This window comes from Homo sapiens, chromosome 1 (genome assembly GCF_000001405.40).
Source record: "Homo sapiens chromosome 1, GRCh38.p14 Primary Assembly".
Classification (NCBI taxonomy): domain Eukaryota; kingdom Metazoa; phylum Chordata; class Mammalia; order Primates; family Hominidae; genus Homo; species Homo sapiens.
The window spans coordinates 53,483,575-53,507,681 of record NC_000001.11 but is presented as its reverse complement, the minus strand read 5'-3'; the positions used below and the strand labels follow the sequence as shown (position 1 = coordinate 53,507,681).

The following is a 24,107-nucleotide window of genomic DNA, read 5'->3' as shown; positions in this document are numbered from 1 at the left end:
ACCTCCCCGGTCAAGCAAAAATCACACACAGAGCATGAAATCCAGGCTGACAAGCTTCAGGGGCTGCAGGCCTCAGAACAGTTCAGCCCAACCCCACTGCGTAGACTGAGGCTCGCCTGTCTTAGGCCACACAAATGCATGACAGCAGCTCATTGGCAGGCCTTTCGGGCAGGGGCTGGAGAAGATCACCCCTCCCGGCCCCTCCCAAGTCAAGGGCCTCTGAGCGGTGGCCCCACCCTGGAGACAGCATGTCCGGTGGAAGAGCCAGGTATCTCTGAAGCCAGATGGACCTGGGTTCAATCCCAGCTCCACCCCTTACTCACACTGTGACCTTAGGCAAGCATCCTGGCCTCTGTGCCTGCCTTCTCAGCTGTACAATAGGATAGTGAATCCCACCGCAGGGGAGCATTGTGGAGCCGAAGCGAGGCAAGCTGAAATGAGCACTTACTAAGTGCCCAGTAAATGCTGGTGGCCTTCTTTGAGTTTCTTGAGTCTGGTTGGGGGATACAACTGAAAGGGTGGGGGTGAGCTGGTCCTTCTACCAGGAGGGGACCAGCCCCTGAGGGCAAGGGCTGAGCTGCTCCTACCCTGCTCCTCTCTTTCCCCCACATTCTGCCCCACAGCCCAGCCCTGGTGATGGACCTCCCTGAGTCAACCCCGTGCCTGTCTCCCCAGCTGCCCTGGGCCCCCTGGGTGTGCCAGGCCCAGGGTGCCTCCCAAGCCCTCGCCCCACCCCAGCGGCCAGCTCCCCCATTTGGAAAAGTTGGGGGCTCCAAGCAGGCCCCACCGACGGGACACTGTGAGGGGATGACCCTGGGCAGGCGGGGTGGGGCCTGGAACTGGGAAGCATGCGCAGGCACAGCCCCTGCTGCCTCCAGCGCTGACCCTTTCCCAACCACTCACAGGCTATGAGGCCCTGGCTGAGGCCTCATGCCCCACAGCGCTGCCACAGCAGCCATCTGAAGATGTGGTGTCCAGCGGCCCCGAGGACTGTGGCTTCTTCCCCAATGGAGCCTTTGACCACTGCCTGGGCCACATCCCCTCCATCTACACAGACACCTGAAGGAGCCCCCACATGCGCCTGCCCATCCAGCACTGCAGATGCCACCTCGCCCACCTGCTGTCGCTCCCACCCTCCGTGCACCTAGCAGGAGTGCCAGGCCACAGCCGGAACAGCCAGGCCATGACCCAGGGGAGCCAGCGCTGCCACCCCACCCAGCGCTGCCAGGGAGCCGCCATCCGAGCTTGAGCTGGGCGCACAGAGGTGCCCGCCAGGATCTGTGGCCCTGTAACATTCCCTCGATCTTGTCTTCCCGTTCCTCCCCGCAGTGGTTTTGAAATCACAGACCTCGTGTATATAAAATATGCAGAACTTGTTTTCCGTTCCCCTGCCAGTTTTATATTTTTGGTTTTACAAGAAAAAACATTAAAAACTGGAAAGGAGATGTGAAGTCCTCGTTCTGCTTTATGATTCAGCCCAGAGGCTGGGACCGGGAGAGCCTCGGAGGAGGGTGACAGAGCCAGGTGTTCAGGGCTAGGGAGGCTGCGTAGAAACCAGCTCAGGCCCTGGGTTCTGACCACGAGGATGGGAACCAGTGGCACGTGGCCCCCACCATGCGCTATGGTCCTTACAGACACCAGCGCTAGTCCCAGGACTGTGCAGTGAGGTAGGCCCATCCCCATGGACAGGTGGGCAAACTGAGGCTGGGAGGGTGCGGCGACGGGCTTCAGATCCCGGGCCCCACAGTCAGACCACAGTTGGGACCCAGCTCCGTCTGACCTGGGCCTCTACCTGCTACAGCGACTCCTCAGCGGGTGGGAGAACGAGCTTCAAATCTAGTGTCTGGGCTTCTGCAAACAGAGAAAACTGGGAGGGCAGGGCAAGCTTGCTGGGGATGGAGCCCAAACAGCCTCAAAAAGCCAGGGCAAAGGCTGGTCCCTGCAGACAGGCCAGGTGCCAAGAGCAGCCTTTGTCCCAGAAGCCCTGTGCCCACCCTGGAGGACCGAGGCTTGCGTGGGTCTGTCCCCATCTCCCCGTCTCGCTCTCCAGCATCCAGCACGAGGAACAGGCCCATGCTCCAGGCCTGGGCAGGTGACCTGGACGATGGCCAGCATCTCACCGTGTCACACTGATCACCTGCTACAAAGATCCAGGAAAATTCCTGCCTCATCCCCTCTGGAGTGGAACCATGCAAGGGCGGTCATGTTTACCACCCTCCCGGTGCTCCCAGAAACAGCCTAGGGAGGGGTCTTCTTGTCTCCTCTGTAGGTGAGGAGGGGCAGCCGGCATTCACACCCTCACCAAAGGGCCGCCTCTTTGTATTACACGCTGACTTCGGCAGGCAAAACAAGATGAAAGGCCCAGTAACCCCTTTCTTTATAGAGAGGGAGACTGAGGGTCAGAGTGAACACCTAGCCACATAGTGACAGAGCCGTGATGAGCGCCTGGTCCTCCCCATCATCCACGATGCCACTGACACAGCAGTGCCATGCCAGCCTGCAGGGCTTCCCGGGGATCTGCTCTCTGCCTCCTCCCAGGAGCCTGCTGACGAGGTTCTTGCACCCATGTCCTACTTGCCCCCTCCAGACATGCGCTCTGCCTGCTCTGTGTCCAGGGCCCACCTGTGGGGGCTGCATTTAGGGCCGCTGCCCTCTGGCTCCGGGCTGGCTCCAGCCAGTGAGGAGCCCAGCATGGGAGGGAGGTGGGAGGGAAGGTCCCTGGGTGGCTGTGTCTTCCACTGAAGGTCTCGGCCCAGTCCAGTGGCTCTCTCCACACAGCCCACTCCAGACTGGGAGCTGCTCCTCTCCTCCCTCACTCGGCGTGGGGTGGGGCTGGGGAATCACTCAAGACACCCCGGCCCACACCGCAGCATGGTCCCCTCAGGAAACTCCTGACCACCCTGAGCTGAAAAGGACGGTCTTCCCTGCCAAACCCTGCTACTTACTCCCATCCTACAGGCACGGAAACTGAGGGACAGTGCGCCCAGCGCGGTGGCTCACGCCTGTAATCCCAGCACTTTGGGAGGCCAAGGCGGGTGGATCACCTGAGGTCAGGAGTTCAAGAGCAGCCTGGCCAACATGGTGAAACCCTGTCTCTACTAAAAATACAAAAAATTAACCAGGGATGGTGGCGGTCGCCTGTAATCCCAGCCATTCTGGAGGCTGAGGCAGGAGAATGGCATGAACCCGAGAGGCGGAGGTTGCAGTGAGCCGAGATCGCGCCACTGCACTCCAGCCTGGGTGACAGAGCAAGACTCCATCTCAAAAAAAAAAAAAAAAAAAAAAAGAGGGACAGTGAAGTTAAGGAACTTGCCCACGTGACACAGCCTGTGAGTGGTAGAGCTGGGTTCAAACCCGGGCATCGGGCTCCGGAGCCTCCACCTTCACCCTTCAGACTGTCTTGCCCCTTGCAGAATCGGGCGACCTGCTCCCACCACCTCTCAGCCTCTGCCTCCCAGAGTGGCCCAGTCCAATTCTCCAGCAGGGAGGGATCGACCCATTGTCACACAGCACATCGGGCTGCTGCCTGCCACCCAGGGTCCCCTCGCCCCTCATCCCCTCCTCCACTGATTTTATGGAACTAATTAGGCCGAGGCAAAACTCCTTGAACAGGGATGCTGAGGAATCAGTACTGCATGTCACTGTGAACACTTAATCCACTCCAGATAAGCAGCGTGAAGCTCCACCATGAGGACATATTTCTGTTAATAATGAAAGGGGCTGAGCCGCAAGCGGGGAACACACAGGGAGCTGGCAGTTGGATCCCATTTAATTTCAGAGAGCAGAGAGAGGGAGAAAAGGAGACAAAGGCAGAGAAACAAAGAGGCCGAGACAGAGCAGAGACAAGTAGGCCGCAGGGGATGGCAGGGCACGGAGGGGCTCGGGGGTGGGTCCCACTGCTGTGGTGACCGGGATCTGGAAATGCCATTCCTCACTCTTCTGCCTGGGACTCCACTGAGCCCCCGCTCCTCCTGGCACACTCGGGACGCCCTGCCCCGACGCCGGCAGGGTCTCCCTCCTAATCGAAGGCGAAGGCGAGCACTGCAACACCGGTCCCCAGGCAGGACCCCCGGGGGCTGGACCTGAGCTCCCTCCGTAGTGCTATCTTCAGCCCTTATTTTAAAAACACCAAGACCAAAGCCCCTCCCAAGCCCTGATCTGCAGCCCGCAGCACATGGGAGCCTGGCCACTGCCACTGCAGGGCACGGCGATTACCCCCAGACCCACCATTGGCAAGGAGGTGTGACTGTCACTGTCACACAGGGAGGCTAGTGGGGTTAGGTGGAGGGGCTGAGATTTCTCACAGGGCCTAGAGAGCCCCTAGGGGGCCACAAGCCCAGGACCCCACAGGGTCTATAGAGCCAAGGGGCTGAGTCCACCCAGGGGCCCCCGAGTCCAACCCAGGGCATAGGCACAGAGCCCAGGATGGACAGGAGACCATGGCATCCTTCCAGCCCTGCCACTCCAGGCCGCCCCCACAGTCCTGGCCTCTGTCAAGTTCAAGCTAGATTGGCCCAGCACCCCCACCCTGAAGCCTTGGTCTCTCTGTCTCCATCAGGGATCAGGGCCCTCTCTCTCCCTGTCCCGCCCTTCCCTCTCTGTCCCTCCCCACTCCTCTCTCTCTCTCTGTCCCTCCCCACTCTCCTCTCTGTCCCTCCTCCTCCTCTCTCTCTGTCCCTTCCCCCCTCCTCTCTCCCTGTCCCTCCCCGTTTCCTCTCTATCCGCCCCTCTCCCCTCTCTCTCCCTGCCCCCTCCCCTCTCCTGTCTCCCTGCCTCTCCCCGCTCTCCTCTCTCTATCCCTCCCCATCTCCTCTCTCCTTGCCCCTCCCCTCTCTCCCTGCCCCTCCCCTCTCTCCCTGCCCCTCCCCTCTCTCCTCTCTGGTCCCTCCCCCCTCCTCTCTATCTGCCCCTCTCCCCTCTCCTCTCTCCCTGCCCCCTTCCCTCTCCTCTCTCCCTGCCCCTCCCCACTCTCCTCTCTCTGTCCCTCCCCCTCTCATCTCTGCCTGCCCCTCCCGCTCCCCTCTCTGTCTCTCCCCCTCCCCGCTCTATCTGCCTCTCTCCCCTCTCTTCTCTATCTGCCCCCTCCCCTCTCTTCTCTCCCTCTCCCTCCCCCCTCTCCTCTTTCCCTGTCCCTCGCCCTACTCCCTGTCCCTCCCCCTTCTCCTCTCTCCCCATCCCCCTCATCCCTCTCTTCTCTCCCTCTCCCTCCCCCCTCTCCTCTTTCCCTGTCCCTCCCCCTTCTCCTCTCTCCCCATCCCCCTCATCCCTCTCTTCTCTCCCTCTCCCTCCCCCCTCTCCTCTTTCCCTGTCCCTCCCCCTTCTCCTCTCTCCCCATCCCCCTCATCCCTCTCTTCTCTCCCTCTCCTTCCTCCCTCTCCTCTTTCCCTGTCTCTCCCCCTTCTCCTCTCTCCCCATCCCCCTCATCCCTCTCTTCCTGTCCCTCTCCCCCTCCTCTTTCCCTGTCCCTCCCCCGCCTCCTTGTCCCTCTCTTCTCCTCTCTCCCCTGTCCCTCTTCTCCTTCTCTCCTCTGTCCCCCTCTGTCCTCTCTGTCTTCCTTCTCTGACTCCCCCATCCCTACCCACTCCTCTCTGGCTCTTCACCTTCATCCTCCTCTGTCTCCACATTTCCCCTTCCAAGCCCCTTTGTCCCTCCCACCCCAGGCCCCTTGTCCCTCCCACCCCTCCCAAACCCGCCTTCTCCTTCCTCCACCCTTCTAGGGTGGAGGAAGGCTCTGACCCTGCCAGGGTCTCAGGTCTTGGGTATTAGGTCCCCTCCTGCCCTGTGTGTGTGCCCAGGCCAGGTCCCTTCCATGCTGGGCACTGGGATTCACCATCACTGGTCCTGTCCTCTAGGGACTCCCTGTGCTCCTGCTGGCCCTTGGGGACCCCATGAGCTATCAGAGGACCCGGACCATAAGGGCTGAGAGGGCCCACTGAGACCACCAGCCCCACCCCACTCACTGCACAGAAGGGAAGCCCAGGCCCAAGAGACTCTGTTTCTGCCACCCCTTCCAGCCTCTCTCCACGCCCCCTAATCTAGCCGACCGGGGGGTGGTCAGGGGAGTGACCCGGCAGCTTTGGGCCTCGGGAGGCCCCTCTGCTGAGAGGGGACTGCGCTGCTGAGGCCCCTGCTAGAACGTCCGTCCCAGGAGGTCAGGGCCTGAGCTGTCCTCTTCACTGCTGACTGCCCAGCCCCTGGAACAGCACACGGCACACAGCCAGCACCCGGCACACAGCCAGCACACAGTACCTGTTTCTTATACCCATCAGTGGAGCCAGAGAGACAACGAGGAAACAAGGACCTGGCCCCACAGCCCCTCGCCCAGAGCAGGACCACAGCAAACACCCGTCAACGCGGTTGGAGGACACGGGTGTGGAGGGGCATGGGACCTGTCTGAGTTTCAGAGCAGGTGGCAGGCCAGCAGCAGGCAGCAGAGAGCCCAGGCTTCAGGGCCCCATTTGCGCTCTGTCCCCCATCCCTTCAGCCCACCAGAAAAGAATGCTGGGCTCCTAGAGGGCTTGTGCAGCCTGCTGATGACCTTCTGCAAGGCACGGGTTGTGACCTCATTGTACTGAGGAGAGAACTGAGGCTCACAGGGGTGACTTGCCCGAGGTTGGAGAGGGGGCAGAGCGGGGATTCCAGGCAGGTCTGTGGCACCGGCGCCTGCCTGCCCCCCTGCCCATCTGCAGCTAGAGACCAAGACTTGAGTCCTGGGGCGCCGCCTGAGGATTCTTGGCACACGCCCGTCTCACCCGCCCAGAGGGGGCCATTAGGCTTTTACAAGTCCTGATTTATATACTAGCCTAGGCCGGCAGCCCTGCCAGGGATTTATAGGTTTCTAAGTGGTCGCGTCTCTGGGGGAAATGCAAACGTATGTGAAGTGGGAAGGAGCTGCCAGCCCCTCCTTGGCCCCATGCTGCAGTGCCAATGCACGATTTAATCGTGGGCCCCAGGCCTGGGTGCAACAGGATCCTGCAGAAGGGCCATGGGAGGCCGAGGAGACAGACATGCCGCCAGGCAGCCCTGTCCAGGCCACGCCATCCACCAGGCGTGTCCGTGTCCTTTCCGCACAGGAGGGCAGGGAGCCCGGCTCTGGGGTTGGACTTGGGTCTGGTTGCATTAGTTTTAGGGCAGAATAAAGAACCCGGCAGCCCCATGGTTTGGAGGGGGCCGAGGGTGTGGAAACAGCAAGTAGAGATGCCGGCGCTGGAGGCTCGGCCACCAGGGTATTCTCTGGGGCTCCGAGGCTGTTCTCTAGAGCACTTGTGTGGATGTTTGACGTTTTCCAGAAATGAATTCAAGTAGTCCTGGTGCGGCTGGGCTGGGATTTCTCGCGTGCCTGGCAGCTGGGGCAGGCTCCGCTCCTCCAGGATGGGGCCTCCTTGCGGGAGGGTCTGGGGCCTGAGTCCTCTTTACTTCGTGACTGTCTTGTCACAGCAGGGACCACATTGGTGGCCCTGTATCCCCAGTGCCCAGCAGAGGGTCTGGTGCACAGCTGGGATTTAATAATGGCTTCTCTGCATTAATTTGCTGGTGACAAGAGTATGTGCAGAACAAGGGCCAGGACAGGGTGAGCCCGGTTAACCTCATACCCGACAGTGCTGGGGGCACAGGAGACCCGGGGACCCTGGCCCCAACCCCAGAGCTCTGCAGGACACCCTGAGAGAAGAAGGTGACTGTGCTCGGAGACCCTGGGATGACTTTGGGATGAAAAGGAGCCCCCGTCCCTGGGGCAGTGCAAGCAAGATTGGCCAAGAGACTGAAGCAGTCCTGTCACTGGGTCAAGGACCACGCAACTTCTCAGGGCCGCCTTCTCTACCCCTGAGGCAGGGAAGTGAGGGGTGGTTATTATCTACAGGAGGAGAAATCAAGTCCCCAAGGAGAGGCCCGGCCGTGACGGCCCAGCCAGCCCTGCAGGGAGGCCTGAGCCCCTGCCTCACCTGCCTGCATGGTGGCACCCTCAGGAACCAGTCATCTGAGGGCAGCCAAGTCATGGAGGAGGCAGAAACAGGAGCCCAGAGGACCTGTGGGTCCTTTGGGGTCACTTTGCCCCTCAGAGACTGTTTACCCATCTGCACAATGGGCTCCATAAAGCAGAGCGCCCCCCACTGCTGCTGCGCATTGGAAACACCCGGAGTCCCCAAGCTGCACACGCAGATCCCACCTCTGAGCAACAAATTCAGCCTTTCTGAGGGCAGCCGGGTTGCTGTTTGAAGAGCTCCCCGGGGGCTCCAGCACCCAGGAGGGGTGAGGACGCCGCTCACCATGGCCAGCACCGCAGCACTTCATGCACATTAACTGTTAAACCACACAGCCCTGTGGGGAAGGTCCTACTTTCACCCCCATTCTATAGGGAAGCAAAGTAAATTACCCCAGATCACACTGAGCCAGGTTTTGAACTCACGTCCTCTCAACTGCAAAGCCCATGCCCTTGGCCACCCTCTGAGCCCCAGAACTTTGCTGTCCCCAAACTCCTGAGGTGAGAGGCACATGCCAAGTTGAGCTGAGACCCTGGGATTGGAAGTCAGCCTGTTTACAATCTGCCTATACCACTGACTGGAGGAAAGTCGCTTCACACTCTGGGCCTTGGTTTCCCCATCTGTGGAGAGGGAGCTATCCTCTTAGCTCTCCTGGCTTCTGGGGAATAAAAAGCACTAATGGACAGGAGATGGGTTTTGCAAACCATGAAAGGCCATGTGCAGCTGAGCTGGTATTATCACTGGAGCCTGGCACTTCGCCTTCATCTGTGGTTTCCTCTGTGTCAGTGAAACCACAGCCACTAGACGGGGAGCAACTCAAGGTGGGGCCCGGGGTGAGGAGCTGGAGCCTGAGCCCCCAGTGGAGAAGTGAGTGGGGGTCTCCAGCTAGGAAGGAAAGGGTGGGAGGTGGAGAGCAGCCCCAGGGGGCAGTCACTAAGCCCCATGCAGGGCAGAATGCCAGGAACACAGGCTCCACGGGGCCCAGACACCGTCCCTCGCCAAGCAAGACACAGGCTGTGCTGCAGCCATCTCCACGGGGCCTGGGGTTTCCTGGGGGCTCTGTGCCCAGGTGTCCGGAGTGCAACAGGCACACACTGCTCTATTACTGATGGGGAAACTCAGGGTCAGGGAGCTGGTGGCTCTCAAAAGATGGTGAGACCCAGGCTGGGCAAGGTGGCTCACATCTGTAATCCTAGCACTTTGGGAGGCCGAGGAGGGTGGATTGCCTGAGCTCAGGGGTTCGAGACCAGCTTGGGCAACATCTCGAAACCCCATCTACTAAAACTACAAAAAACAATTAGCCGGGCATGGTGGCACATGCCTGTAGTCCCAGCTACTCAGGAGACTGAGGCATGAGAATCGCTTGAACCTGTGAGGGGGAGGTTGCAGTGAGCTGAGATAAAGCCACTGCACTCCAGCCTGGGCAACAGAACAAGACTGTCTAAAAAAAAAAAAAAAAAAAAAAAAAAAGATGGTGAGGCCCAGAGTGTTGACAGCAGGGATTCCAGAGTTCCCAAAATCTGAGTTCCAAAACCCACGCAGCCATGCTCCGACTGGGGTCTTGAGCAGGTCACCTCACTGAATCTGAGGTTCTACTCTGTAAGATGAGACGATGCCTCCTCTATTGGTGGGTGGATCAAATGGGGCGCTAGAGTGAGGGCTTGGTACATAGTAGGTGCTCAGGTGTGAGTATTTTCGTTCGAGGACTGCCCATTTAGATGAGTGCCCTAAGCATTCTCCTCATGATTTGAAATCAAGTTCCATGGTACAAGTGGGGAAACAGTCCCGGGGAGATGGCCTGACTTGCTGGGGACACATGGCCATTTGGTGGTGGGTCTGGTCTCAGGACACCCAGGGCAGTGCTCAAACCACCCCATGCTGTCTTGGGCAGAGGCCTCACTAGTCAGCACATCCCAGCTTGTCTACCCAGGGCCTTGTACCTTGATTCAAATTCTGGCTCTGGAGGCAGGGCGTGGTGGCTCATGCCTGTAATCCCAGCACTTTGGAAGGCCAAGGCAAGTGGATGGCTTGAGCCCAGGAGTTTGAGATAAGCCTGAGCAACATGGTGAAACCCCATCTCTACCAAAAATCCAAAAACTAGCTGGATGTGGTGGTGCATGCCTATAGTCCCAGCTACTCAGGAAGCTGAGGTGAGAGGATCACATGAGCCTGGGAAGTCAAGGCTGCAGTGAGTGAGCTGTGATTGCACCACTGCAATCCAGCCTGAGAGTGGAGACCCTGTCTCATTAAAAAAAAAAAAAAAAAAAAAAAAATTCTGGCTGTGCAGCCTTAGACAAGTCGCATGCCCTCTTTGGGCTTCAGTGTCTTCAACTGAGAAATGGAAAACTATGATGTTGTGTTGAAGAGGACATGAGAAACCAGGAGTGGCAGCATTTGGTGACCTTGGAGAGCCACGGACAGAGTGGGAGAGGGGAAGAAGTCTCCATCTGTCGATTCAGCAGTTGAGCAATTTGTCATACTCCACTGTGTTTTAAGAAGAGTCGGAGGCTGCTCCAGGTCTTCTTACACCCATTCAACAAGGTAGGCTCCTGCAAGCGTGTTTCAGGGCTGAGCACCCAGAAGTGCCCCCAACATGGCCTCCCTTCCCATAGCCTGCAAATCTCTGTCTTTTTTCTTAATTTCTCTCTGTGCACTTAATGTGCTAACGAAATAGTTAATTCCACAGTGCCCTCTTGACAATTGGACATATGTCCAGGAATGGGCATTACTTTTAGCATCTCCCCAAGTAGGTTGATAATTAGGGAGGGAAAATCCTGCTGTTGCCAGAAACAGAGACAGAATGTGACCCTGCCAGCTGATGGGCCTAGGCTGCCCGAAGGCAAAGCCATCACTCCAAGGTCAAGAGACCTTCTACAGTCCATGCTGCCTACCCTCATCCATTGGCCAAGAACCTCCCTTGGTCTCCCCAACTTCCAGGTCTTGCTCATGACAACAGGAATTTTTTTGAGCCCCTCCATGTGCCAACCACTTGACATATGTTAACTCATTCACTCTTTAAACGAGAGAGAGAGAGAGAGAGAGGGAATCTAGGCTCAGAGTGCCAGACCAGGTCTGCAGGGCCCAAAGATTGCTCTCCCTTCTCCTGGAACAAGCTGCCTCTTCGAGTCCTGCTTCCTCCACCTTGACCCTCATCCTTTGGTTCAGTTCTGCAGCTACCAGCACCAGAGCATAGTGATTGCTCAACAGTCAGTAAGAGCCTTGGATAAACTCACGGGGTCACAGACTCAGAGCCATTAGGGATAGGGAGGAGTGGGGCCTTCCCAGGCCACTCAGCAAGCAGGAGAGTGGCAGAGACTGGATTTCCAAGTCTCCAAACTCCCAGCCAGAGCTCCAGGAGCTCCGCAGCCCTGCCAAGCTGACCCATCTTTCCAGGACATTTTCCTTAGGCCGCCTCATCTTCCAATGACAGGGAGTTCCTCAAGACCAGGTCACCAAGTCTTCCTTCCACACAGGTAAATGTGCAGTATGTTACACAGCGTTGATGCTGACACATTGGCTGGGGATTCCCATATGGCTGCTGGGCCCCATCCTGGGAGAAGGCCCCAACTTCTGGGTCTCAAGACCCCAGAGTCTTTCAGGCATCAAGGCCCAGAGTTTCACCCAGTCCATCTCCGAAGGGCCTGTAGGGGAAATTGGTTCAATCCCCATCTGACAGATAGGGAGATGGAGGCCTGGGGAAGGGCAGGGACTTGCCCACTGAGTGCAGAGCCCAGGCCAGGACACTTCTGTCATAATTCCTTTTCCTAAAGGACCCAGCCCAGAGAAGCTGTAGACTCAGCCGGTTCTCATTTCCCTTTTGGGTCCCTCGGCTCATGCTGATCACTTCATCAAACTGACTCAAGTCTCCTCTGAGCTGGGCACAAGAAAGTGAGATGACTCAGCCTGGCCCTAGCCCTGGATAGCCTCACAGCCAGGAGAGAAGACTGGCTCAAAAACATCCCCCAGGAGACGCCCTGTTACATTGTGTGGACAAGCTGCTGTGCTCACGTGCTCCCACCAACAAGGAACCAGGCAGACCCCTTCATCTCTGTTCAGCTCTGGCTAAGAAAATCCTTCCCTCAATGTTCTGGACATATTATGCAGTGAAATAAGGTAGTCTATGTGGTGTGCAGACAATTTTCTAAAAAGGCCTAGAAGAAAGTCTGGAAGGATGTTCTTCCAACAGTTAAGAGTGGTTTATCTTTGAGCGATGGGGTTGATAGTGATGTTTATTCCTTCTTCATATTTATTCCTATTTTCCAAATTTGCTCTAGCATTTTTTAGCCTTAGTTTTCTAATATATATATGTAAAATAGGGACTAAAATCTCTACCTTACTGGTACACACCAACACCCTTTCATGACTAGAAAAACATTCAACAAACTAAAAATAAAAGAGAACTTCCTTAACTTGATAAAGGCCACCTATGAAAAACCCACCACTAACATCATATTTAATGGTGAAAGACTGGATGCTTTCCCCCTAAGATCAGGAACAAGACAAGGATGCCCACTCTTGACCCTTCTATTCAACATTGTACTGGGGGTTCTAGCCAGGGCAATTAGGTAATGAAATTAAATAAAAGGTATCCAGATCAGAAAAGAAGAAGTAAAGCTATCTATTTGCAGATAACATGTTCTCATATATAGAAAATTATAAGGAATACACACACACACACACACACACACACACACACAAACACACAAACACACACAACCATTAGAGCTAACAAACGAGTTCAGCAAGGCTGCAGGATACAAGCTCAATACACAAAAAGTGTACTTGTATACACTTGCAATGAGCATTGCAAAAATGAAATCAAGAAAATAACTCCACTTACAATAGCATTCAAAAGAATAAAATATTCAGTAACAAATTTAGTAAAAGTACAAAACTTATATTCTGAAAACTACAAAATATATATATTTTTTGAGACAGAGTCTTACTCTGTCACCCAGGCTAGAGCCCAGTGGTGCAATCTCGGCTCACTGCAACCTCCGCCTCCCAGGTTCAAACAATTCTCCTGCCTCAGCCTCCTGAGTAGCTGGGACTACAGGCACCCACCACCACATCTGGCTAATTTTTATATTTTCAGTAGAGACGGGGGGGTTTCACCATGTTGTCCAGGCTGGCCTTGAACCCCTGACCTCGAATGATCCACCCACCTCGGCCTCCCAACATGCTGGGATTACAGGCATAAGCCACCGCACCTGGCCTTAAAACTATGGAATATTGTTGAAAGAAATGAAAGAAGACCTAAGTAAACAAAATGACAGCCCATGTTCATCAATTAGGAGACTTAGTATTATTAGGATAGTAGTATTCCCCAGTTTGATCTACAGATTCAGCACAATCCCTCTCAAAGTCCCAGATGGATTTTGTGCAGAAATTGACAATCTGATCATGACATTCATATGGAAATTCAAAGGACCCCGAATAGCCAAGACAATCTACAAAAAGAAGAACAAAGTTGGAGAACTCACACTTCCCAATTTCAAAACTTACTTTAAAGCTTATAGGCATAAAGAAAGACCTGTAGGAATAGAATTGAGAGTTCAGAAACAAACCTTCACATTTATGGTCAATTGATTTTTAATGAGTGCCAAGATAATTAAATGGAGAAAGAATAGTCTTTTCAACATATGGGTACTGGGACAACTGGATATCCCCATGCAAAAGAATGAAGTGGGATCCCTACCTCATATTATATGTAAAAATATGCTCAAAGTGGACCAAAGACCTAAATAAAAATTAAAACTATAAAACTAAGAAAAAAAATAAGAGTGAATATTTGTGCCAGCCTGGGCAACATGGCAAAACCCCGTCTCTACAAAGAATATAAAAATTAGCCAGGCGTGGTGGTGTGCGCCTATAGTCCCAGCTACTTGGGAGGCTGAGTGGGAGGATTGCTTGAGCCCGGGAGGTCAAGGCTGCAGTGGGCCAAAATCGTGCCAGCGCACTCCAGCCTGGGTAACAGAGTGAGACCCTGTTTCACACGAAGAAAGAAAAAAAGAAAAAGAAAAACATCTTTGTGCCCTTGGATTAGGCATTGATTTCTTAAATATAACTCCAAAAGCACCACCACCAACAACAAAGATAAACTGAATTCCATTAAAATTAAATTTTTTTGTACTAAAAGGACATCATCAAAAAAGTGAAAAGACAATCCACAGAATGGGAGAAAATATACGTAACATATATCAGATAAGGGAATTATAGCCGGAATATATTAAGAACTTTTACATCTCAGTAATAAAAGGACAACCCAATGTTGAAAGAAGAAAGATGATTTACAAATGGCAAATAGCACATGAAAAGATGCTCAGCGTCATGAACCATCATGGAAATGCAAGTCAAAATCGCAGTGGGATGCACTTCATAACCGCTGGGATGGCCATCATCAAACGGTCAGATACTAAGCACTGTTGGTGAGAATGTGGAGAAATCAGAACCCTTATACGCAGCGGGGGAGAATGTAAATTCTCTGCGCTGTGGTAGAAAATAACTTGGCAGCTCCTAAAGAAAGTTAAATACAGTTACCATATGACCCAGCCATTCTATTCTTAGGTGGAATAAAAAACCCAAGAGGAATTAAAACATATGTTCACACCAACTCTTGTATACAAATGTTTAAAGTAGCACAATTCATAATAGCCAAAAGGTGGAAACAATCCAAATCTTCATCAACAGATGAATAAACAAAATGTGGTCTATCCGCTCAACGGAATATTATGCGGTAAGGAAAAGACACGAAGCACTGACACGTGCTACGGCACGGATGAGCCTGGGAGACGTTATGCTCACTGGAAAAAGCCAGTCTCAAAAGGCCACATACTGTACGACTCCTTTTATATGAAGAATCTGAACAGGCAAATCTATAGTGACAGAAAGCAGATTCCTTGTGGCCCAGGAATGGTGGCTTGAGGGAAATGGTGAGTAATTGCTAATAGGCATGGGGTTTTTTTGGGGGGATGATGAAAATGATCTAAAATTGGTTGTGATGAAGTTGCATAATTCTGTAAATATAGCCAAAACCATCAAATTGTATATTTTAGATGGATGAATTTTATGGCATGCAAATTATATCTCAATAAAGCCATTATTATTATTATTCTATTTTTTATCTTTTTGGAGACAGAGTCTCACTCTGTCACCCAGGCTGGAGTGCAGTGGCATGATCTTGGGTCATTGCAACCTCTGCCTACCAGGTTCAAGCCATTCTCATGCCTCAGCCTCCAGAGTAGTTGCGATTACAGGCGCTCACCACTGCACCCGGCCAATTTTTTGTATTTTTAGCAGAGACACGGTTTCATCATGTTGGCCCAGGCTGGTCTTGAACTCCTGACCTCAAGTCATCCGCCCACCTTGGCCTCCCAACATGGTAGGATTACAGGCATGAGCCACCGCGCCTGGCCAAAGCCATTATTATTATTTATTTTTATTTTTATTTTTAGAGATGGAGTCTCACTCTGTTGCCCACAATGGAGTGCATTGGCACAATCTCGGCTCACTGCAACCTCTGCCTCCTGGGTTCAAGCAATTCTCCTGCCTCAGCCTCCAGAGTAGCTGGGACTACAGGCACACACCATCATGCCCAACTAATTTTTGTATTTTTAGTAGAGACAGGGTTTCACCATGTTGGGTGGGCTGGTTTCAAACTCCTGACCTCAAGTAATCTGCCTGCCTCAGCCTCCCAAAGTGCTGGGATTACAGGCATGAGCCACAGTGCCCAGCCACATTAGTTTTTAAAAAGAGTCTGTAGGCTGAATTGTTGCTTACAAACTTCTTTTTTTTTTGGAGATGGAGTTTCACTCTCGTTGCCCAGGCTGGAGTGCAATGGCGCAATCTTGGCTCACTGCAACCTCCACCTCCCAGGTTCAAGCAATTCTCCTGCCTCAGCCTCCCACATAGCTAAGACTACAAGCATGCTAATTTTGTATTTTTAGTAGAGACAGGGTTTCACCATGTTGGTCAGGCTGGTCTCAAACTCCTGACCTCAGGTGATCCACCTGCCTCGGCCTCCCAAAGTGATGGGATTACAGGCGTGAGCCACCGTGCCCGGCCCAAATTTTTTTATTTTTATTTTTTTGAAACAGAGTCTCGCTTTGTCACCTGGGCTGGAGTGCAGTGGCACAATCTTGGCTCATTGCAACCTCCACCTCCTAGACTCAAGTGGTTCTCCAGTCTCAGCCTCCTGAGTAGCTGGGACTACAGGCATGTGCCATCTGGCTAATTTTTGTATTTTTTTGTAGAGACAGGGTTTCGCCATGTTGCCCAAGCTGGTCTTGAACTCCTGGGCTCAAAGTAATATGCCCACCTTTATCTCCTGGAGTGCTAGGATTACAGGCGTAAGCCACCATGCCTGGCCTTCTTAATGATGATAGAATCCAAGCAGTCTAAATAAGTGACTATCTTGGTGGTGGCAGCAGATGACTAATCTATCATTTTCTCTACTGGCACTGCAGTTCTCATCAGGATGCAACCCTGTCCCTTGCTTGGCCAGTTGTCACCTCAGAGATACATAACTACGAACAGGTGAGGCACTAATGAGAGGAAAGCCACCCTTCTCAAGTGAAACAGGAGTGGCCAGGAAGAGTGTGCATTCCAGGCACAGGCGGAAGCGAACCTTTTCTGCAGATCAAAACCACTGAAGGAAGAGGCCACCTTGGAAAGGTGCTCCCACAGACGCCAGGGAGGATAGAAGGTGAGTGGGGGCTTCCGCCACAGCCCGGGAGCCTGGCTCATTTTTGTTTCACAGGCACGCTCTCTCCCAACATGTTTTGCTCCTTTTCCAGGGGAACAGCCCATGCAAAAGTGTGGAAATGAGAGGGTGAGCCCTGGTGAGCAGAACACAGGGTAGTTCGGGCCAGTGGAGCAGGGTTGGGGGAGGGCAAGAGGGAGGCTGGAGAGGTCAGTGTACCACGACTGCCCAGGGGGCTGACTCCTGCAGAGAGGTCTGGATGGGCTCGTAGGGTGCCCCTGGACAAGTCACCCCCATCTCTGAGCCCATTCCACATCTGTAACTTCCTTCCTAGTGTGATAGTAAGAATCCCATGAGATAATACATTGTAACATGCTTAACGGGGCTCTTGGAATAGAGAATGTGCTGGATAAATATTAGCTGTTATAATAATGATGATGTTTCTTTGGCTTCCCCAGATTGCCTGATGTGAGCAAAGTGTAACTGAAATGGCAGAGACAGACTGGACATAAGTGTTTATCTCATCTCCTTCTAAACCCCATTAAGGTGATGATAAAGAAATAAAAGGAGCTGTCAGAACAGGAGAGGCGCTGATGGGAGATGGGAGCCAGCAGGAAGTGGAGCCTGGGCTGGTGGCAGAAGCAGCTGGAGACTGCCGAGGGGCACTGCCAGACATGGGCAGGGTCTCCCACAGAGCCCAGAAACACCCAGGACTCAGAGGCACCAAGTCCTGAGGAAGGTGGGAGACAGGGTGGAGTAAAAAGAGGGGACTGGGTTGGTTGACAGTCAGTGTAGGAGCTATTAGACTCCCTGGGGCCCCCCGAAAACCAAGCAGCTAGTCCTCCCTCCGCCACTCACATCCCACTCCCAGAAGACCAGTAGATGATGGTTTATCCTTCACAGAAACTGGACCAGAGGGGATTCTGATGCAGAAACACCAAGTGGCTATTTGGACAGGAAGGTGGAGATGCTTCTCTGGAAAAACTGGCCTCTAGAAATGGGCATTTTGAGCCCACCCCAAGAAGCTGACTTGCCCCTAGGTCACCCCAGTGAAGCTCATAGTCAACAAGCCTCACCCGTCCAATCAGGCTCACAGAGCTTCCCATTGGCTTTTTAGTGCCTCACTCTTATACCAGTCATCTACCAAGGATCACCAGGAACAAACAAACAAACAAAAGCTGGGGGAAACAGAGATAATGCAGGCAGCAGAAAAAAACCAAAACCAACAAACAGAAAAGATAACCAAAATTAAAGCTCTGATAGAAAGTTTGAAGGTAAGAGAGTAAGCACATAAATGAAAAATAGGGAAAAATTAATGAGAAGGTTTGAATATCAATCCAGGAAGTTGGTATCTGACCAATAAAAATTCCCGGCTGGGCGCAGTGGCTCGCACCTGTAATCCCAGCACTTTGGGAGGCCAAGGTGGGTGGATCACGAGGTCAGGAGTTCAAGACCAGCCTTGCCAAGATGGTAAAGCCCCATCTCTACTAAAAATACAAAAATTAGCCAGGCTTGGTGGCGGACACCTGTAATCCTAGCTACTTGAGAGGCTGAGGTAGGAGAATCGCTTGAACCTGGGAGATGGAGCTTGCAGTGAGCCAAGATCATGCCACTGCACTCCAGCCTGGGTGACAGAGCAAGACTCCATTTCAAAAAAAAAAAAGTTCCGGAAAGGGGGAAAAGAGAACATGGAGGAAAGAACGTTATCAAAGAAGCAACAGAAGAAAAATGTTGAAGACCAAGGGATATAAGCCACCAGCTTGACAGGGCTCACTGAGTGCCCAGTGCTACAGATTAAAAGGGCCCGTGCCAAGACATGGCATTCGAAAAGTTCTGAAGAGCAGGGATGAAGGAGGGATCCTAAAAGGAGAAGGAGGAGGAAAAAAAGAAAGCCTCTTACAAAAATATGAAACAGTATCTCATCACATTTCTCAAAGCAACACTGGGAGATAGAAAACTGTAGAGCAAAAGACTTAAAATTTTTCAATGAAAGCAATTTTTAATCCAGGATTCTATGCCCAGCTGAACTATTAATCAAGGGTGAGCATAGAATAAGGAATTTTCAGACGTGCGAAAACTACAAAAAAAAATTGTTTTCTTTTTTTTTTTTTGAGACAGGGTCTTACTCTGTCACCCAGGCTGGAGTGCAGTGGTGTGATCTCGGCTCACTGCAGCCTCCACCTCCCAGGCTCATGAACCTCCCACCTTGGCCTCCCCAGTAGCTGGGACTACAGGCGTGCACCACCACACAATTTTTGTTTTGTTTTGTTTTTTTAGAGACAGGGTTTCACCATGCTGCCCAAGCTGGTCTCAAATTGCTGAGCTCAAGTGATCCACTCGCCTGGCCTCCCAAAGTACTGGGATTATGGGTATTAGCCACCGCGCACTGCCAAAAAGAAGTATTTTCTAAATTTTTTTTCAAAAAGTTATCAGAGGAAAGCTCTCCTAAACTGAGGGAATAAGCCAAGACCTCTTGCAAACAAGGATCCCAGTGCAGGAGAGTGGCAAGCAGAGTCCAAGTGGACAGCTGGGTTGTAGGAAGTGGAGGGCTGGTCCAGGGCTAGCAGAGCCAGATGCTTGGATGCATTGGTGGGTATGAGAGTGATGTGAGAGGTGCTGGACGTCGCTATTAGAAGGTCTGGGGAAGAATTAGCAATAGAAACGTAGACAGCTAGGCCAGTGAGAAAACAGGCAATTATTAATTCCAGAAAACGGTAAAAGCATGAGGAAAAGAAACTAATCAGATTACAGTACTTGGATTAGTAAATATTTACATAATCATGACAACATAAATCCAGAATATCGATTTAGTGAAAACGTATGTGCTCTGACTACCAGGAGCTGGGGAAGAGGAAGTGTGGGAGCGTCGGGAGAAAGGCAGGTTCCCACTGCCCTGCCCAGGAAGCCCATAGAAATGTCTCTCGGAGGAGCGAGAAACAGCGATTTTTTGTTTGTTTGTTTTAGACGGAGTCTCACTCTGTTGCCCAGGCTGGAGTGCAGTGGCGCAATCTCGGCTCACTGCAAGCTCTGCCTCCCGGGTTCACGCCATTCTCCTGCCTCAGCCTCCTGAGTAGCTGGGACTACAGGCGCCCGCCACCACACCTCACTATTTTTTATATTTTTAGTAGAGACGGGGGAAACAGCGTTTTTAACATGCTGGACTGAGGTATGAAAGGGAAGACAGAAGCAGCTTGAGGACTTGAGCAGCTGCCTCTGGAAAGTGGAACTGGGTTGGAACTGGTTGAGATGGGGATAATTTGAGGACTGTTGGTTTTCTTTCTTGGCCAATAGTTCCATTAGATTTTTTGAAACAATGTGTTTATATTACTTTAGGAAAAATAAACATGAATGATCAGTAGGTATAATTAATCCATCCTGGCAGAGAAGACACGGAGGCTCAACAAGTCTAAGGGACTCGCACAAGACCCTGGCGTGGCCACGTCAGGATGGTGCCAGAGCCCTCCACTGCCAGGTCACTCTTGGTGCCAGTGACCAGAAGCATGATGGCAGGAAGGATGAACACTGGAACCTTACCACGCTGACTCTCAAGAGGCAAGTCCGCTTGACCCTCCAACCCTGGAAGAACAGCTTTTAAAAAGTTCCATCCATTTACAGTATGGCTGGTGAAGTCAGCTGAGTTCAGAAGAAATGTATGACCATAATTTTTATTTATTTGATCCAAAAGCTTTACTTTCAAAGAGAGGGATAAATATGAGACCAGGGGAAATTCTTCTCAATCATCATGAATTCCCAGGCCACAAAGCAGGGAGGACAATTTCCATAATATTCCACCTTATTCTGTACATGTTTCCAGGCAGCCTTTGATGCTGCAGCTTAGAAAGCAGCCCAGAGCCTCTTGCTCTAAAACAAATCAGCAGCTCCCCGCCTCCCCTTCCCCACCGCCTCCCCTTCCCCACTGCCTCCATCCCCACCCATTTCCACCAAATTTTGCAACCTCAGCTCCCACCCACCCCACTCCATTGCCTCCTTCCCAACCTGCATTCCAGTGGGGACAGCTTGACACTAGAGTGTGGTGTTCGGGGGGTGCCAGGGCTCCTGCCAGGAGTGGGTTCACAGAGTTCACCAGCCATGGGAGTCCTCAGGATGGTGGGAGACTTTCAAGTAAAAGGACAGTTGCAGAGCGGTGTGAGACACGCCCAGGCTCTCCCAGCCCCAGTTTAAGGTTCAAAGGCCTTGGTGAGGGCTCTGCCCCTCTGTACCTGAGCCCTGGCCCTCCTCCTGTCACTCAGCCTTCTCCCTGGCCCTGCTCTTTTCAGCCTTGCCTCTTGCTTCCAGGCCTTTGTCCGTGCTGTTCCTTCTGTCCGGAGCACTCTTCCTTCAAGCTTCCCAGGTGCAATGATCACATTGCACTCATTGCTTGCTGTAGGTGAGTGTCTCCCCTCTAGCCTGCGAGTCTCTCGGAGGCTGGACTGGTTGTAAATTCTCTCTGAGCACCCTGGGCACAGCAAGGGCCCCCCATGGGTTGATGCCTGTTAAACAAAGGAAGAAAGGGATAAATGTGACTTTGGGGCTCGGCAGCAGCAGTCCAGCCTCGTGCCCTTAACAAGCTACCTTCATCTATAGAGTGGCTTCTCATAGGGTTGTCTCACACCCAACCCTGCCTTCAGATCCACTTGGGGCAAGTACTCCAAATGCAGATTCCTGGCCTCCCCACAGAGCATCTAACATTGGAAGCCCCTGCACCAGGGCTGCATTTGGACTCAGTGCTCTTTCTGTGAGGAGACCGCCTTCTACTGGGCTGGTTTGTGTATCTGCAGCTCCTAACCCTGGTCCCGTGTGGTTTCTGACTGGGTACTCGCAGCAAATAGAGAAGAAACAGCCCACCCTAGCCCCAGAGCCCAGAGTGCAGCCTTCCCTGCAGCGGGGATTTTCAGGCAGGTGAGCGTGAAAGCATGCAGTGGCCTGTGCCTCAGTTTCCTCACCAACATAGTCCTGGTGACTTCCCACGTGCTTGTGGAGGTCGGGCTGGTGAATAAATATCCTCGGAGCTGGGAGGCGTCCTTACAGGCAAGAGCACTCACGGGGCCCCACGGGGCATGGGTGGGGCCGGGCAGGGAGGCATAGGCCCCGTGGGCCCTCTCTCAGCCCGTGCCTCCCATCCACCCCTCCACTTCCACACCACCTGGGTGAGGAGGGCACCACCACGGACCAACGGAAATGGGGGCCTAGAGGGCACTGGCAGGACTGGCCGCAAGTCTCTGATGGAGGACAGGAGAGACCCTGCTTCATGGAAACTCAAAATTGTCATCGCAGCTCACATCCCCTTGGAAACACATTGAGTAAAGACGAGAGCGTCCCAGTCTCCGCTTGGAGGAGGGCTTGGGCTAGGTCCTGGCGCCCCCTCGCGGCCACTCCTTTGCCTTCCCCACAAGCCCCTGGCCATAAATAAACCAAGTCGTCAGGGAAGATTGGAACCCAAAGAACCTTGGAGGCTGCTGATCCCCGCTGGCCCCCACAGACCCCTTCCCTCGTCTCTTCCTCCCTATTTCTGTCCTCCTGGTGATAGCCTAATTTGTAAAGGATGTGTTGACACTCACTTGTCTCTTACCACCTCACGATCACTCCAATACCCTTCTTGTTCTCTTTAGTGCCACTCTCAGCCCACTACTCGGAACCCAGGCCTCTCCCGCCTGTCCCGGCTTTCTTTCCATCCCCCGGCTGCCTCCTTTTCAGGCTTCCGTCCCTGTCCGCAGGCACCCTGCCCCTTAGGACTGCACACCACATCTGCGCGGACAGCATCCGCTCTCCATCCCCAGTGCAGGGTGCCCTCCTGAGCTCAGCCCCAGGAAGCTGCCCCCCACCCCTTCTGCAGCTTCTCACAGACATTCCTGCTCAGCACCCCAAAACCCTTCTCCTACTTTCCCATCTCAGCACATCACCCACTTAGGCCAGAGATCCGGGTGCTGTCCTGATTCTTGGCTGAGACTCCCCTAAGAAGGGGTCTCACAGGCTCCAAATGGCACCTGGGTCTCCAGAGCCAGCTCAGCAGACAGCACATCTCATCCCTGTTAGCTGGCTGCATACACTGGGTGTGCTGAGTCTCCCGGAGGTAGAGGCGAGTGGGACAAAGTGAAACTGCGTCCTCCTGACCAACAGACAGGGATGGGAGCTGGCCCGGCCCAGGCCCGGCATGGCCTCACCATACACTGTGCCTGCGCTCCCTGGACTCCAGGCCTCCGAAGATGCTGTTCCTTCTGCCTGGGACACCCTTCTGTACAATACTAATGCCTTCTTGCTCCTTGACACCAAGCCCGTGTGTCACTTTTTGGGAAGCATTCACTGATGCCCAGGCTGGTAGCCTCTAAGGCATGATCCCGTGCGACCTGGCCCCTGCCTCTCAGCCCTGGGGAGTTTCTATTAGCTCCTCAAATATGAAAACCTTGTTCCCGCCTGAGAGCCTTTACACATGCCACTTTTTCTGCTGGGACCCACCTCTGTCTACCCTGTCCCTTGTTTCCACCAAGGAAAGCTTCCCTGCCTCTTCCAGCAGATCAGGGTCCTCCCATGTCCCCCAGACCCAGTCTCCCTGAATCTCAGTGCTGCTCCTCGGGGGTCAGTCTGCACACATCTGTCTCCTATAGAAATAACGATAACCCTTCCCAGCACCTGCTCTCCCACTGAGGCCTAAGCACTTTGCATACATTCATCCTTTATCACATGTCATAACCCCATCGTTACCCTTGTTTACAGATGGGGAAGTGAGGTCCTATGTCCTCCATCCAAAGCCTGAGTCGAGCACACGATCTGTGCCGGGGAGGGCTTCCCGACCCAGAGCTCTGACAGAACAGACGCCTCCAAATCTTGTTTAAATGGAAAGCAGCCTCGGGGCCGTTCCCACCACTGCCAGCCCTGGATGAAGGCCGGGCAGCCCCTTTCATGCTCTTTATTCTTTTGAACAAATTGTGAGTTTTACAGGATATCCAAGGCCTGTGGTGGCAAACACATGTTCCCATGGTGAGAACCATTGGACCTGCTGGGCACAGGGCTGTGAGTGCAGCTGAATGGCCACCCAGGCCCCTCCTGCCCCTGCTCTGCTGCACCTGGGCCCCCTTGAGCAGGGCCACATCCTAGCTGCCCCATTGGCCACTTCAGAGAGAGGACACAGCTCCCCTACCCCACCCTGGTGTCCCCTTCACACCCCTGGCTCCCACACTCACGGGCCTGACCCCCTCCCACCTCTGCAGAGGCTGCAGCCTCACAGCAGCCCAGGAAAGGGCACTGCTATCATTCCACTCGCAGAGAAGCCAGCTTAGAGAAGGGGAGGTAACTTGCCTGAGGTCACACAGCTGGGTCGGGAAGAAGCTGCGAATTAGAACTCAGGTCTCCTGGCTGCAAAGCTGATGCTCCCCACAACAGCATCATCTATGCCACCAAGGCCAAGAAAGCAGAAAGGTCTGTGTCCCTTG

The 24,107-nt window shown here is 53.4% G+C and overlaps 1 protein-coding gene across 8 annotated transcripts in view, besides 5 other annotated features; it reads left to right on the top strand.

Annotated features, from left to right (window-relative positions):
• The window catches only part of GLIS1 (GLIS family zinc finger 1), a 232,926-nt gene extending 231,483 nt beyond the window's left edge, over positions 1 to 1,443 (top strand). For all 8 annotated transcript variants that reach the window (XM_017000409.2, XM_017000411.2, NM_001390838.1 and 5 more), the window contains one exon: positions 906 to 1,443. In XM_017000409.2, the coding sequence (XP_016855898.1) occupies positions 906 to 1,063 (158 nt within the window). In that variant the 3' untranslated portion in view covers positions 1,064 to 1,443. The remainder of the gene's footprint in view (positions 1 to 905) is intronic.
• Positions 38 to 564: an enhancer, noted in NCBI's record as "NANOG-H3K27ac-H3K4me1 hESC enhancer chr1:53972791-53973317 (GRCh37/hg19 assembly coordinates)". NCBI's record gives its function as "activates a minimal SCP1, AML or CMV promoter by ChIP-STARR-seq in primed H9 embryonic stem cells {active_cell/tissue: H9 hESC(primed)}" and the evidence as "EXISTENCE:reporter gene assay evidence [ECO:0000049][PMID:30033119]".
• Positions 565 to 1,091: an enhancer, noted in NCBI's record as "NANOG-H3K27ac-H3K4me1 hESC enhancer chr1:53972264-53972790 (GRCh37/hg19 assembly coordinates)". NCBI's record gives its function as "activates a minimal SCP1, AML or CMV promoter by ChIP-STARR-seq in primed H9 embryonic stem cells {active_cell/tissue: H9 hESC(primed)}" and the evidence as "EXISTENCE:reporter gene assay evidence [ECO:0000049][PMID:30033119]".
• Positions 3,562 to 4,125: an enhancer, noted in NCBI's record as "H3K4me1 hESC enhancer chr1:53969230-53969793 (GRCh37/hg19 assembly coordinates)". NCBI's record gives its function as "activates a minimal SCP1, AML or CMV promoter by ChIP-STARR-seq in naive H9 embryonic stem cells {active_cell/tissue: H9 hESC(naive)}" and the evidence as "EXISTENCE:reporter gene assay evidence [ECO:0000049][PMID:30033119]".
• Positions 6,325 to 7,165: an enhancer, noted in NCBI's record as "H3K27ac-H3K4me1 hESC enhancer chr1:53966190-53967030 (GRCh37/hg19 assembly coordinates)". NCBI's record gives its function as "activates a minimal SCP1, AML or CMV promoter by ChIP-STARR-seq in naive H9 embryonic stem cells {active_cell/tissue: H9 hESC(naive)}" and the evidence as "EXISTENCE:reporter gene assay evidence [ECO:0000049][PMID:30033119]".
• Positions 23,235 to 23,855: an enhancer, noted in NCBI's record as "H3K27ac-H3K4me1 hESC enhancer chr1:53949500-53950120 (GRCh37/hg19 assembly coordinates)". NCBI's record gives its function as "activates a minimal SCP1, AML or CMV promoter by ChIP-STARR-seq in naive H9 embryonic stem cells {active_cell/tissue: H9 hESC(naive)}" and the evidence as "EXISTENCE:reporter gene assay evidence [ECO:0000049][PMID:30033119]".